Here is a 14,644-nt window from a genome sequence, read left to right on the forward strand (position 1 = left end):
ATGTTGCCTTTTCCAAAACCACCCATGGCCCTGCCCCCAACCCCCATCCTGTGCCTATAAAAACCCCAGAGCTCTGCCAGCAGAGGGGAGAAGCAGCTGGACATCGGAGACTATGGTTGGATGTCGGAAAGAAGCAGCTTAACCTCGGAGGGACAGTTTGATGATGTTGCTTTGGAGAGGATTCTGGCCAGGACGGCTGGACTCCAAGGGAACATTACCTTCCTGCCCTGTCCCTTTTTCATCTCCCCTTCGCGCTGAGAGCCACTTTCACCAGGAATAAAATCCCTTGCATTTACTGTCTTCAGTTCGTTCGTGTGACCTCATTCCTTCTGGACGCCAGAGAAGAACTTGGGTGCCACAAGTGTGGGTGCAAACGGTTGTCACACTGACCGTCCACTGAGCTGTTAACACTTAAGCCATCCACAGACAGCAAAGCTAAAAGGGCACTGTTGCACTTCCTCTGGGGCTTCGGATCACGGGCACTGTACCCTAAACCCTGCTGCAGGGCCAGTACAGAGTTCGCTCTTGCTCCTCCCCAAAAGCGCTCGCCCCAGCTCCTGCACCTGTTCACATGCACTCCCCCTCCTGTGAGGTTTGGAGCAGTCAGTGAGTAGAATTCGCCCCTGCCAGCACCAGCACGAGTGCACTCCATTTCCCGCCTGTGAAGGGGTCAGGGAAATAATCTGCTTCTGTGGTACTTGTGGATTTGAGTTACATTTCTCTAACGACTAATGATGAGCATCTTTTTTTGTTCATGGTGGTCATTTACATATCTTCTTTCAAAAACGTTTTCAGATCTTTTCAGATCCTTTGCTCATTTTTAATTGGGTCATTTCTTGTTGAGTTTTAAGATTTCTTTATAGATTCTGGTTAAAAGTCGCTTATCAGATAATATGATTTACAAATACATTCTCCTATCCTGTGCGTTGTTAATAATATCATTTTATATTTAATTTTTTAAGCTCTCATAGAAGGATTACTAATCTTTTACTTGCACACTTCTGGTACCCAGAAGTTCTTCAGTAGAGGTTTATGAATAAATGAGTGGTGTATCTTTACCTCCCTTCTCAACTACTAACCAAACTAAATATGCTTAGTTCCTCAGTTGAGCCTCATATTTTGCCATCTCTCAATCTCTCAAGAGTGAGAATGACCATTCTTTGGAAGTCTGTTGATGTACCATTGTGCCTTATTGCAGAATGGTGTTCCAAACTGGACTGTAATGTGACTTCCCTATTTTGGGTACATTGAGGGTATCAGTTCCTTTGAACTTGATACTGCTTTTCTATTTATTCAACTTAAGATTTCATGACTTTTTAATGCAACTCTGTTATTATTTTGCAAATCAGTGAACTATTGTTATATTCCGTGGAATAATAGATCAAAGTCAGAGAAAGTGCGTAAGTGAAAAATAGAGGATATCAGCCTTGACAGCAGTTCATAGAAAAAGACCTGGGCTTTTTAGTTAACTAATTTTATATAATTCAGTGGTAAGACAAACTTCAATAGTTTTGTTGTTCTTTGAAGTTTCTTGGTGGTTTTATTTTTAATGAAGTTCTTCCTGTCAATTAGAGCTGTGAAATAATGGAACGGGTGACTTGAAAAGTAATGACTTCCCTGTCACCAACATTATTTAAGTAGAGGCTGGGTGACTAACAGGGATATTGTAAGAAGGGGCTCTTGAATGGAGGGTCCATGACTGAGTAACCCATGAGACCAGCTTCTTTCACCTCTAATTTTGTGATCTAAGGATCACCTCTGCCAAGATCCTTAGGAGAAAAGGTCAGTTTTTTGTGTACACATGCATTATATTTTCAGTTTATTTTCTCATCAAGCAGATGCCTTTAACCTTGAAAGGCTGCTTTATTTCTTCATTGAATTATTTTGGCTTATAAGGAAAATATGTCTGTAGTACTAATCATTAATGATTTTAAGTGTATATACTCAGATAAATTTTTGCTTAGTTGTGCATTCCCACTTTTTTTTGTCATGAAGTTTCACAGCTGTATTTAGTAAAATCTTTTGAGAGACAGCCAAGTAACTGATTTTTTTGTGGCAAGCCAATGGCATGTCAAATTTGGATTTATGTTGGAAAGCTGTTTTGCAGACATAAAAGTTGAAATAAACAGCCAAATTATCATTTCTCCCAAATTTGGATGTGGGAAAGTGAATATGTGTTTGGCTTTTATTTCTGGAATAACTTGAGAATGGATAAATAGGTTTTCCTGTGTGCTGTATTAAACGTGTGCAATTTTGCAGCAAGTCCAAATGTGAGAAATTTAATCCCAAAGAATTATGTTAAGTGTTTGAAAAACATCTATTACTTGGGATCATCTCCTGTGTGCCAGGCACTAGGCCAGGTGCTTTACAAATGTTATCTCATGTAATCCCCAAAATAGAACTGTGGTTTTATAATCATTTCTGTTACAGGCACTAAAATCAAGGGCATCACAGTTTAAGGTAATTTGCTCAAGGTCACAGAATCAGTAAGTATGAATTACAAATTTGGGATTCGGACCCAAATCTTCTTGTCTCTGGTCTCTGGCCTATTCTTTGAAGGCTTCCCCAAGTTCTTCAAGTTTTACTTATTTTTGTGCTGTAATAGGAAATTATAAGTAAGGTTCAGATATTTGTTATTTAATAATGTGACTTCTGATTCATACTTAACAGTATTTCAGTATGTTTAATTCTGGTTTTGTATAATGATTTAAAATCCAAAATAGCAGTGATGCAGGATTTTGACTCCTTAGTTCAGCTAAATCTGGGTTCTTATCTCATGACCAGAAAGAATTAAGCACATGGACACATTGAAGGGTGAGGAGGGTGGAATTTATTAACCTCTAAAGGAAAGCTCTCAGCAAAGAAAAGGGTCCTGCAAGAAGGTTTCCACCTCACAAATTGAATACCAGGGCCACCATACAGGAGCTGAAGAGGCTACGCTCCTCCCTGCATAAGGCGCAAATTCCTGATGGCTCCGCCCAGTTCCCTCAGGGCACATGTGGGCATGCCCAGGCAAGCCATAGGTAGTATTGGAAAAGACAACATTCCATTGGTTAAAAGGCATTATTCAGAAAGAATCAATTAGGAAAGGGCAGGCAAACTGGGGCAGATGTTCTCCCTTTGGGTCTTGGGTTTCATCTGAGACCAGCAGTCCGGTCTTCAGCCTTCAGGCTGTTTTAGGCTTGAAGGTGAGGTTTCACCAGGGACCCTTCCCTATCTGCCTAGGCATTTGTCTGCCTCCTGCCTCTATCAGCAGCATTTCTCTATTATAATTGTTAGGAACAGAAATAATTAATCTGTGTCCTAGACTATTTGTAAACTCTACCTCAATGTAAATGTAGTTTTATAATTAAAATGAAGGATCATCAAGAATCTAGCTATTACTTTTTTTTGAAAATTAATTTTCCTCCAACCTTTTTTTTTTTTTTTTGAGATGCAGTTTCTCTCTATTGTCAAGGCTAGAGTACAGGCCCACTGCAGTCTTGAATTCCTGGCCTCAAGCAATCCTCCTGCCTCAGCCTCCTGAGTAGCTGGGCCCACAGTTGTGCACCACCACACTGGGCTAATTTTTAAATTTTTTGTAGAGACAGGATCTAGCTTTGTTACCCAGGCTGGTCTCAAACTCGTGGGCTCAAATGTCCTCCTGCCTCAGCCTCTCAAAATGCTGGGATTATAGATGTGAGCCCACACTGGCCCCCTCCAACTTTTTATGGGAGGTGTTCCTGAATGGAATGGCTTGGCCTTTGTTGTACATCAAGGTAATAAATAAATGGTCCTCACTTATGGCTTAACTTTATTTTCCCCAAGGATTTGGCACAGGTGTTGTGTGACCCTGATTCAGGGTTTGTGGAACCCCCTCTGGGTAGTGAAATAGATGATCTTCTCAAGATAGATTATACAATCATGCCTTAGGCTGGTCTTTGAGTGTTATATTATCTCTTCCTGGCTCTTTTAATTTTCTGCTACAGACAGAACTTCCATTGTATTTAAAATAGCATTTATTTTATAATAAGGCTGAAAAAAAAACAGTACAAAAGACTTAGAAGAATATAGTCAAGGTAGAGTTGATGTCAAATGGAAATGGTAACATTCATTTAAGTAGAGCAATTAAAAATGGCCTTGGGGCTCTTAGTTTTACTTGCCATATTGTCAGTTCTGGAGCCACTGGTAGGTATTTTGTCCTTATCATTTCAAAGCACACAGTTGAATTTATTACTTCAGTTATTATCCTCAGTTACTTCTATTTTTTAGGATACTTTTAACTTGAAGGATTAAAAAAAACTAATCATATAGAACCATCTAAAGCCAACATAAATTTAAATCTTAGTCTCATTTTTATCTTAATGATAAAATAATGAATTAAAGCTTTTATACATTCCGTGTTGAAGTTGTCTCTAGTGTATTCATGATTGAAAAATATACTCTACATGTACTTTCAGGCTTATATGAAATACTTTTCAAGTATCAAATATTTATGGAAAAAAAATCTGCGTTGGCTCTGAATCTGTTACACCTAGAGCCTCACTGTAACACTGTCCTTGGGTTCTGTAATGATTAACATTTGGCACTTAAGTAATAAAACCAGTTTTACAAGGGCCAAAATGGACCCTTGTAAATGAAAGTGGCCTCTAAACATACTAAAATGCATGATAACTTTAACAAATCTTTAATTCTAGATTCTTTAGAGGGTGTCACCATAGGATGATTGATGCTGAAAATGAGCTATGTCATGTTCACTTTTTCTCTGTTACGTACTGGATGCTTATTTATTTAGAAATTTGGTGCATAAATTGTTGTCTGACACTGTTTGAATATTTAATGGCCAGTCATTTCTATGTTACCCCTAAGGATGTCTTCCTTTACTTTTAGAGTTCCTATGGTTCCTCCTCAAGTTATGAATTAGTGTTTTCATGAGGTAGCAGAGAAGTGTCCATATTACCTTAAAGCACACATAATTAGAAACATAAATGCACTGAATACACTTAGCACTCAACAAACACCTGTATTGTTACCTAAAGGCCAAATGATTATTCTTGGATTATCCACAGTGTAGCTGGTCTGTATCACTCTTCATTCGAATTTAGAATAGGTAATTAAAAGTCATTTATCTGTGATTGTATTGCTCAGAAACATGAAGTATGAAATTTCTATACCAGTGCCTCATAGTAAATTCTTTCCCTAAAGACAAGTAATTATGGATCCAGAAACATTTTTCCTTCACTGAGGAGAGGGGTGATTAAAAAGCTCACTTCGAAGTCCAAAATACTGCAGATTTGTTGAGACAGTTTTGTTTCCCTGACATGTTGATTGCACTTCACATCACACACAATACCGAGGGACTTATTCTGTAAGGTTTCTGGCCTTCCCCTTTATCATAATTGCAGAGTGTCACATTGATCTGATGGAGATGGATTTAGAACAGTTGTTGATTGGAAGCTCTTGATAAAGACAGGGAGTTCAAACACAGACTCTGCCTGGAAATTCAGCGTGAACATCCCTCATCTATCATAATTTAACCGATGAGAAAGATCAAGTTAACCTGCCATCCATCATATCTATTTAACTGTACTCCAGAGTGAATTAAATTGTATTTAACAACTTTTATCTTACAGGGTTTGCACACTGAAAGAGAACAGCACTTCTTCATCAAGTTGTTGCTCTCTGTTTATCAATTTAAGATTTTGAAACTTGTTCTAAAACATTCAATATCCAGTAAATTCCTTTCAAAGACTTTATGGTCCTTAATTTTCCCCCAAGTTTTGTTCTTACTGGTAATAATCAATATCAGTTTAGTACTATAGCAATGGAGAAGTATTCTTAGGATGCAATGGTATAAAATAGTATCTTATCCTTGAAAATAGACGTGCTCAATTGAAATAAGCTTGGTTGGTATTGCAAGTATTAATTTGGAGTACTTTCAGACATTTTAAGAGGTATCGTTTTAGGGCCATAGAATAGTAGAGTTAGGAGGGCACCTGAAGATCTAATTTAATCCTTTAGTTTGCAGCTAAGGAAACTGGGCTCTAAGGGTACATGACTGTCATAACAAGGCCATCTAAGTTATCTGCAATAGTGCTGGGATAAACATGCAGGATTTCTGACTCCTGGAATAGCTTTTCTTTGATCCTACCATGTATCTTTATGTACAGATTCTATGTGGATTCTCTGAAACTCATGTCTTATCAGTATCTTTTAGGATTAAGGGAGAGGGGAAAGATAACCATGGCACGAAATAATATAACAGACCCTTAAAACTTGATACCATCAATTTTGAGTTACAAGAGGAAATAAATGGGGAAAGTAAGGGAAAGGAGATCACTCTCTGTTCTTGCTTTTCTCCAACCTACTAACATTAGAGAACTGATAAAAAATTTATTCATAGACTTTGCTGATCAAATTGTTATGTGTTGCCATCTTGAATAATTTGTACATCTGCAGAAGCAAGAAAAAATTAAGTTTTCTTTTTGGAGAGCAAGAAAATTCAATAAGAAAACATTTTCTAACGTCTTGATAGAAATTATTGGTATAAAAACTTAGGTCTTTAGTTAGGATTTGATCCAGCCCAAGATGGAAAACACAAAATAAGAATGGTGTAAGCAAGTAGAATTTATTTTTCCTTTAAAGGAAAAGGAGTACACAGGTTCCTTCTTTGCCTTCTCTGTCTTCCTAATGTGGCAATGAAGGTTCAACATACCTTCCCCAGCCCTGGCCATCACATCCTCAGCTAGCCTGAAGGGGTGAGTGATGAACAGTAGGGCGAGGGGAAGGGCCAGTATGAGCTGGCTTCGAAGGTGGTGTCTTAAGCAGCCACATGATACTTCTACTTCCATTTCATTTTCATTGATCAGAACTTAGTTATGAGAATACCTATTGCTTCAAGGAAGACTGGAATATTCAGTCTGTATTCTGGGTAGCCAGGAGTCCAGCTAAAATCAGGATTGTGTTACTTTATTTGATCTTAATAAATTATAATATTTGATTTTTTATTTTTAAAAATATTACTTTTTTTAGAGACAGGGTCTTGCTCTGTTGTTGCTCAGGCTGGAGTGCAATGACATGATCATAGCTCACTGCAGCCTTTGCCTTCTGGTCTCAAGTGATCCTCCCACCTTGGTCTCATGAGTAGCTGGAACTACAGGTATGCACCCCCATGCCTGGCTAATTTTTGAAATTGTTGTAGGAACGGAGTCTCACTATTGCCCAGGCTGGTCTCGAACTCCTGGTCTCAAGTGGTCCTCCCACCTTGGCTTCCAAAAACGCTGAGATTTCAGGTGTGAGCCACTGTGCCTGGCCTCACAATATGGACTCTTGAGCCCCATAACTGAACCGCAGAATAAGAATCCCTGTGTTTATTTGGAGGTTCTTTTCCAGCAAGCTTTTCCAGGGCTCCCTATGCAGCCAGCTTCACATGTTTAGGAATCATTGCACTACAATATAGGCTAGACATACTGATGCAGGATTTTTGCTCCTTAGTTCAGCTAAATCTGGGTTTTTGTCTCATGACCAGGAAAAATTAGGCATGTAGACACATTGAAGGGTGAGGAGGGTACAATTTATTTATTTTACTTATTTTGTATTTTAAGTTCCGGGATACATGTACCGAATGTGCAGGTTTGTTACATAGGTGTACATGCGCCATGGTGGTTTGCTGCACCTATCAACCCATCATCTAGGTTTTAAGCCCCACATGCATTAGGTATTTGTCCTAATGCTCCCTTTTCCCTTGCCCCCCACCCTCCAACAGGCCCTGGTGTGTGTTGTTCTCCTCCTTGGTTTCCATGTGTTCTCATTGTTCAGCTCCCACTTATAAATGAGAACATGTGGTGTTTGGTTTTCTGATCCTGTTAGTTTGCTGAGAATGATGGCTTCCAGCTTCATCCATGTCCCTGCAAAGGACATGATCTCATTCTTTTTTATGGCTGCATAGTATTCCATGGTGTATATGTGCCACATTTTCTTTATTCAGTCTATCAATGATAGGCATTTGGGCTGGCTCCAAGTCTTTGCTATTGTAAATAGTGCTGCAGTAAACATACGTGTGCATGTGTCTTTATAGTAGAATGATTTATAATCCTTTGAGAATATGCCCAGTAATGTGATTGCTGGGTCAAATGGTATTTCTGGTTCTAGATCCTTGAGGAATCAGAGCACAGAATGTATTAAGCAAAAGGAATGCTCTCAGCAAACAGAGGGTCCCTGTAAGCAGGTTTCCACCTCACAAACTGAATACCAGAGCCACCATGCAGGAGTTGAAGAGGCCAGGCTCCTCCCCTGCATAAGGCACAAATTCCTGGTGGCTCCACCCCATTCCCCCAGTGCATGTGGGCCTCCAGTCCACTGTGGGCATGCCCAGGCAAGCCCCCTGGGCAGGTTCTCTTTTCTGCACAAAACATCTGGTGTAAACCCTTGTGGGGCAGGTTGGAGATTCTCCGGGTACCCTTCCCTAATCCTAGGGGATTTGGCTGTCTGCTGCCTCTATGACTACCTTACCTACCATAGAGATGAAGGTTCCTCACACTAAACATTTCACACTTATGAAGGGGTCAGAACTCTCAGTATATTCCAAACCTACATCCAAAAGTAAAGCTGGCACACATCAGCTTTGCATTAAATATCTTGAAGCCATTTCTGAGCTCACTAGGACAATGGGCCCAGAGGACAAATGAGTAATCTTCATTTCGAGTACCACAAAGGACGACAGAGATCAAGCACCCCAAATCTGTATGTGTCAGGGGCAGTGGAGTGTGGAGGAGGATCTACAGGAAAAGAAGGAACATGATGGTACATTATTTCTGTTGAAAGCAAATGAGGGCACAGTGCAAATGCCAGGCAGGCACCTGTAATCTGTGACATTTCAGCTTTTAAATTTGATTTTGGCTTATCTAATAAATATGGGATCTGTTTATATTATTGTGATTTCATGTCTACTTAAGAGTTTAATGTTATAATTAAGTCCTTACTAGTTTTGTGAGTACTAAATCGAAGAATTGCTATCATGTAATTCTTTGAACAGATAAACATTTTTGGGAGAGGGAAGGCAAATCTGGATTCTGGTAGGGTTGATATTTAATATTTATCAGTTATGGTTTCAGAAGAAGTGAAACTGACTACAGATCTATTACCTATGTTAATTAAAAGAAGGGAGCAAATGGCATGGAATTTTACTACTCCTTGAAAAAGTTCTACTAGCATTAATGTTCTAGGGGGTATTGCTAAATTCAGTTAAAATTAGTCCATGGTAGCCTCGTTGGCATAATAGGGAAAAAGTGAATTCTCCAAAGAATGAAGCTTTCAAATTCATTAGGACAAAAAATTACCTGTCTTCCTCTGGGTATTTATTTTTGCTACAGCTTGAGCTCCTCTCTTAGTTTCAGTGCCACTTGATAGTATGGACAGATAAAACTCCACGGTGGGGGTCACACACACACACGTTAACCAAAAATAAAATTCTAAGCCCTGCAACCAACTGAATGGATCCCCCTTATGGCCGAGGGGATTCCAAAGAAACCTGAAAAACTAGTTCAGGTCATGAAAGGAAGTGGGGACCAGGCATGCCTCATTGTACCTTCTCTCTTTTGGAGTTTAGATACAACTGACCAGCATTAACATTAAAACAGAGATCTGGCTGGGCATGATGGCTCATGCCTGTAATCTCAACACTTTGAGAGGCTGAGGCAGGCAGATCACTTGAGGTCAGGAGTTTGACACTGGCCTGGCCAACATAGTGACACCCCATCTATACTGAAAATACAAAAATTAGTTGAGCATGGTGGTGGGCGGCGCCTGTAATCCCAGCTACTCGGGAGACTGAGGCAGGAGAACAGCTTGAACCTGGAAGGTAGAAGAAGTTGCAGTGAGCCGAGATTGTGCCACTGCATTCCAGCCTGGCCAACAGAGGGAGACTCTGTCTCAAAAGCAAGCAAGCAAACAAACAAACATTAAAACAGAGATCTTAAGACTGATAGAACATAGTCTTTGTACCAAATTCCAGCCTGACTCTAGTATAACATCACATGACAGATAAAGAAGGAAATAGAAATATTTTACCCTAAAATATGTCTCTAAATATACCTAAAAAATATACCTAAAAAATTTGCCATATTTTGAAATGGCTCTTTTCATCTATAAAGAATGTCTATTAACATAACTAGATCTTTCCCCTTGCAGTCCTTCCCAGTCCTAAAGAGATTAACTAATAGTCTGGCACCTTTCAAGGTCTTAAAAGAGGCATTTACCATCTATTCTTTCTGAAGCCTGCTACTGGGAGTCCTCATCTAATCTACCTAACAAGAACTTTGGCTTCCACAACTTCCCTTATCTTAAAGTCAAGCATTTTTTTTTTTTTTCCTGTTGACTTCAACTTCAGGTAAAGCTGAACTCTTTTAACCAATTGCCAATCAGGAAATCTTTGAATCCTTCTTTGACCTGAAAGCACCGCCTCCCCCCACCCCACCCTGGCCAAAATATGTAGTATTGATTGATGCCCTTTGTCTCCATAAAATATGTAAAACCAAGCTATAACCTAACTACCTCAGGCATATGTTCTCAGGACCTCCGAAGGCTGTGTCACAGGTCATGGTACTCACATTTGATTCAGAATAAATCTCTCTGAATATTTTATAGAGTTTGGCTTTTTTTGGTCAACACTCACATGACTTCAGGGCTGAGAGACAAGTGACCTTAGTCACTAAGTGGCTGGGCATAAGAAGGGTCACAACTGCTTAGCTCCAGGTAGGAATATAGGTCTAGTTTTGGCAGATCTTCTGAGTTTTCATAAATGCCAAACTCTGGAATTTATTTTATTTATTTTTATTTTAATTTTTTTTGAGATGGAGTCTTGCTCTGTCACCCAGGCTGGAGTGCAGTGGCATGATCTCAGCTCACTGCAACCTCCGCCTTCTGGGCTCAAGCAATTCTCCTGCCTCAGCCTCCCAAGTAGCTGGGATTGTAGCAGGACTAGCTGCGGACAAAACCTCTCAGACACCGAGTTGTAGAAGGAAGGGCTTTATTCAGCTGGGAGCATCAGGAAGCTACTGCCTTAAAATCCGAGCTCCCCGAATGCTTAATTACTGTCCCTTTTAAGGGCTCACAACACTAAAGATTTCACATGAAAGGGTCGTGATTGATTTGAGCAAGCAAGGGGTACGTGACAGGGGCTGCATGCTCTGGTGGTCAGAGAAAAACAGAACAGGGCAGGGAGTTTCACAATGTTCTTCTATACAATGTCTGGAATCTATGAATAACATCACTTTCTAAATTATGAGTTGATTTTTAACTACTGGGTTTAGGCCAGGCAGGGCCAGGCCTGGTTTCGGGCCTGGCGCTGGGCTGCCTGTCTTTGGTCTTATTTCCTTGTTGTTTTTTCTTAAAACAGGTACTGAGTATAAAACAATATAAAATAATATGAGAGGTCTTTCTCTTCCTTCAGGATTACAGGCTTGTGTCACCGTGCCCAGCTAATTTTTATATTTTTAGTAGAGATGGGGTTTTACATGTTTGCCAGGCTGGTCTCGAACTCCTGATCTTGGGTGATCCACCTGCCTTGGCCTCCCAAAGTGCTGGGATTATAGGCGTGAGCCACCACGCCCAGCCCCAACTCTGGAATTTTATTTTATTTTATTTTTTATTTTTTTGGAGACAGAGTCACACTCTGTCATCCAGGCTGGAGTGCAGTGGCACAGTCTTGGCCCACTGCAACCTCCGCCTCCCAAGTAGCTGGTATTACAGGTGCCCGCCACCACGCCCATCTAATTTTTTGTGTTTTTAGTGGTGACGGGGTTTTACCATGTTGGCTGGGCTGGTCTTGAACTCCTGACCCCGTGATCCACCTGCCTCGGCCTCCCAAAGTGCTGGGATTACAGGCATGAGCCACAGTGCCCGGCCAACTCTGGAATTTTTAAACGGAAACTTTTTTGTCTTTAAATGTTGCCAGTGAATTTGAAACCCGTATGTAATCTTCCGTCTACCTGTTTGTTTTTCCTCTGCTCCATGTAATAAGGTGTAGTTTGTTCCCATAGATTAGACAGACTCCAGGGCTTGTATTCAACCAGTGTGCATCTGGCTACTAAAGTGTTAAAATACCTGTGGACTGGCTGGTAAGTAGCCACTGCCTAGTGCTAGTGGTCCTGGGGAATGTTGTGTGTTCAGTGCTGGGGCCTGTGCCAGCCCCTGGTCTCCTGGCCTGTCTATGGCAGTTTCCTGTACTAGCCCTGTCTTCTGTACCTTTGGACCAATGTGGGCCCAAGTCACGATGAGAATCTGGCATTCTCAGCATAGGGGCAATGAGACACGCTGAAAACCAAAACCTGGATTCTGATAGGCTCTGCTCCTTCTCCCCAGGCTGTGGCTGTTGGCTGCTCATTGGCATATCCCAGTGTTGTCTTTGTGTGGCCAGTTCAGGGTACTGTAGCTTTCCCTTTGATTAATGAATATAACATTCATTAAATATTTTGGATTTCACTCTGCCATCTTTAATGCACGCTTCTCAAAGATGCTTTATCAATATGTTTTGCCCTTAGAGTGATCTTTTTCCATAGACATAGAGTTTTATCATTCATTCCTTTGTATTGATAAGGCTGCCTTTCTTTTGATTATATTAGGTTGGTGCAAAAGTGATTGCAGTTTTGGACCATGATTTTTAAATCATTATAACTAGGCTCAAATACATCTTTATTAATCAAAATAGGAACCATTGCAATCAACACATTTTTGCCAACGAGAAGTAAGTTTGTTTATTCCTGTAGCATAAAAATCCATGCTTCGGGATTCAGTGAACTCTTGGAAAGCATTTTCTGCATTCTGCTGGTTGTGGAAGCGTTTTCCCTGCAGAAAGTTGTTTAGATGCTTGAAGAAGTGGAGGCCAGTTGGCGAGAGGTCAGGTGAATATGTTGGATGAGACAAAATTTCATAGCCCAGTTTATTCAACTTTTGGTTTTTTTTTTTGAGACGGAGTCTCGCTCTGTTGCCCAGGCTGGAGTGCAGTGGCACGATCTCAGCTCACTGCAAGCTCCGCCTCCCGGGTTCATGCCATTCTCCTGCCTCAGCCTCCCGAGTAGCTGGGACTATAGGCGCCCGCCACCACACCCGGCTATTTTTTTTTTTTTGTATTTTTAGTAGAGACGGGGTTTCACCGTGTTAGCCAGGATGGTCTCGATCTCCTGACCTCGAGATCCACCCGCCTCGGCCTCCCAAAGTGCTGGGATTACAGGTGTGAGCCACTGCGCCCGGCCAGTTCGTTCAACTTTTGAAGCATTGGTTGTGTGACATGCAGTCAGGTGTTATTGTGGATAAGAATTGGGCCCTTTCTGTTGGCCAATGCCGGCTGCAGGTGTTGCAGTTTTTGGTGTATCTCATCGATTTGCTGAGCATACTCAGATGTAATGGTTTTGCCAGTATTCAGAAAGCTGTAATGGATCAGACTGGCAGCACACCGCCAGACAGTGACCATGATTTTTTTTTGGTGCAAGTTTGGCTTTGGGAAGTGCTTTGGAGCTTCTTCTTGGTCTAGCCACTGAGCTGGTCATTGCTGATTGTCATATAAAAATCCACTTTTCTCGTCGCACATCACAATCTGATCGAGAAGTGGTTCGTTGTTGCACAGAATAAGAGAAGATGGCACTCAAAAATGACAGTTTTTTTTTTCTAATTTTCGCTCACCTCATGAGGCATCCATTTACTGAGCTTTTTCCCCTTTCCAATTTGTTTCAAATGCCAAACCACAGTAAAGTGGTCGACGTTGAGTTCTTTGACAACTTCTCATGTAGTTGTAAGAGGATCAGCTTTGATGATTGCTTTCAGTTGGTTGTTGTCAACTTCTGATGGCCAGCCACTATGCTGAACTTGAATAAGAAAATTGCTCAAATTTGCTTTCTGTCTAACATCATTTCCATAATAAACAGCAAGTAGTAAGTCATTAGCATGACAACATAAAGCGAGAAATGTGCATTAAAATGATGTATAACATAACCACATTTGTTTAAAAATGTATTCCAATATCAAACAGAAAATTTCAGCAATGCAAAAACTGCGATTACTTTTGCACCAACCATTTTCCTTTTGCTTTCCCATTCTTCAACTTTAGGATAAATGGGGAGTGGATACAGCAGGCACCTTGGGAGTCATTGGATTTTCCTAGTTTGTCTAGTTTGTCTCTTATCCGTTGTATTGCCATGTTCTGCTCATTACCGTCTTATGGGCCTGCTCCTTGGGGCTTAGACAGTCTCCTTGCCTTTGCTTCTGCGGCTCTTGCTGCTTAGAAAACACTTCTGGTTCTATCACCTATGCTGGTGGGGTTGCATCATCTTTGATTTTCTACAGCTATAGGTAATGTCTTTTCCTTGAACATTTAAGGAAAGTGGCTCCATCTGTGTGTCTCTTAGAGTATTTACCACTTTGTATTTCCTGTCCTGTATTGACGTGAAAAAATGTCTTTTGTCTCTACTTAAACTCCAAGGCTGCAATGTCCATTACAGTCTCTGTTAGCCACATTGTGCTGTTTAAATTTAAACTCATAAAAATTAAGTAAAAAATATAGTTCCTCAGTGGCATTAGCTGCATGTGGCTGGTGGGGACTGTATGGAACAGTACTGAACATTTCTATCCTCAGAGGAAGTTCTGCTGAACTGGGCTGCTCCCATGGCTTGAG

The 14,644-nt window shown here is 40.7% G+C and overlaps 1 protein-coding gene across 11 annotated transcripts in view, besides 2 other annotated features; it reads left to right on the forward strand.

Moving 5' to 3' along the window:
- Positions 1–14,644, forward strand: part of PTPRM (protein tyrosine phosphatase receptor type M) — an 839,541-nt gene that overhangs the window by 158,196 nt on the left and 666,701 nt on the right. The gene's annotated exons all lie outside the window — the stretch shown is intronic.
- Positions 2,265–3,464: an enhancer, noted in NCBI's record as "MED14-independent group 3 enhancer chr18:7727774-7728973 (GRCh37/hg19 assembly coordinates)". NCBI's record gives its function as "activates an origin of replication core promoter dependent on BRD2, BRD4, P300/CBP and CDK7 cofactors, and independent of MED14, by STARR-seq in HCT116 cells {active_cell/tissue: HCT116}" and the evidence as "EXISTENCE:reporter gene assay evidence [ECO:0000049][PMID:35650434]".
- Positions 9,315–9,816: an enhancer, noted in NCBI's record as "NANOG hESC enhancer chr18:7734824-7735325 (GRCh37/hg19 assembly coordinates)". NCBI's record gives its function as "activates a minimal SCP1, AML or CMV promoter by ChIP-STARR-seq in primed H9 embryonic stem cells {active_cell/tissue: H9 hESC(primed)}" and the evidence as "EXISTENCE:reporter gene assay evidence [ECO:0000049][PMID:30033119]".

Source organism: Homo sapiens, chromosome 18, assembly GCF_000001405.40.
Source record: "Homo sapiens chromosome 18, GRCh38.p14 Primary Assembly".
Classification (NCBI taxonomy): Eukaryota; Metazoa; Chordata; class Mammalia; order Primates; family Hominidae; genus Homo; species Homo sapiens.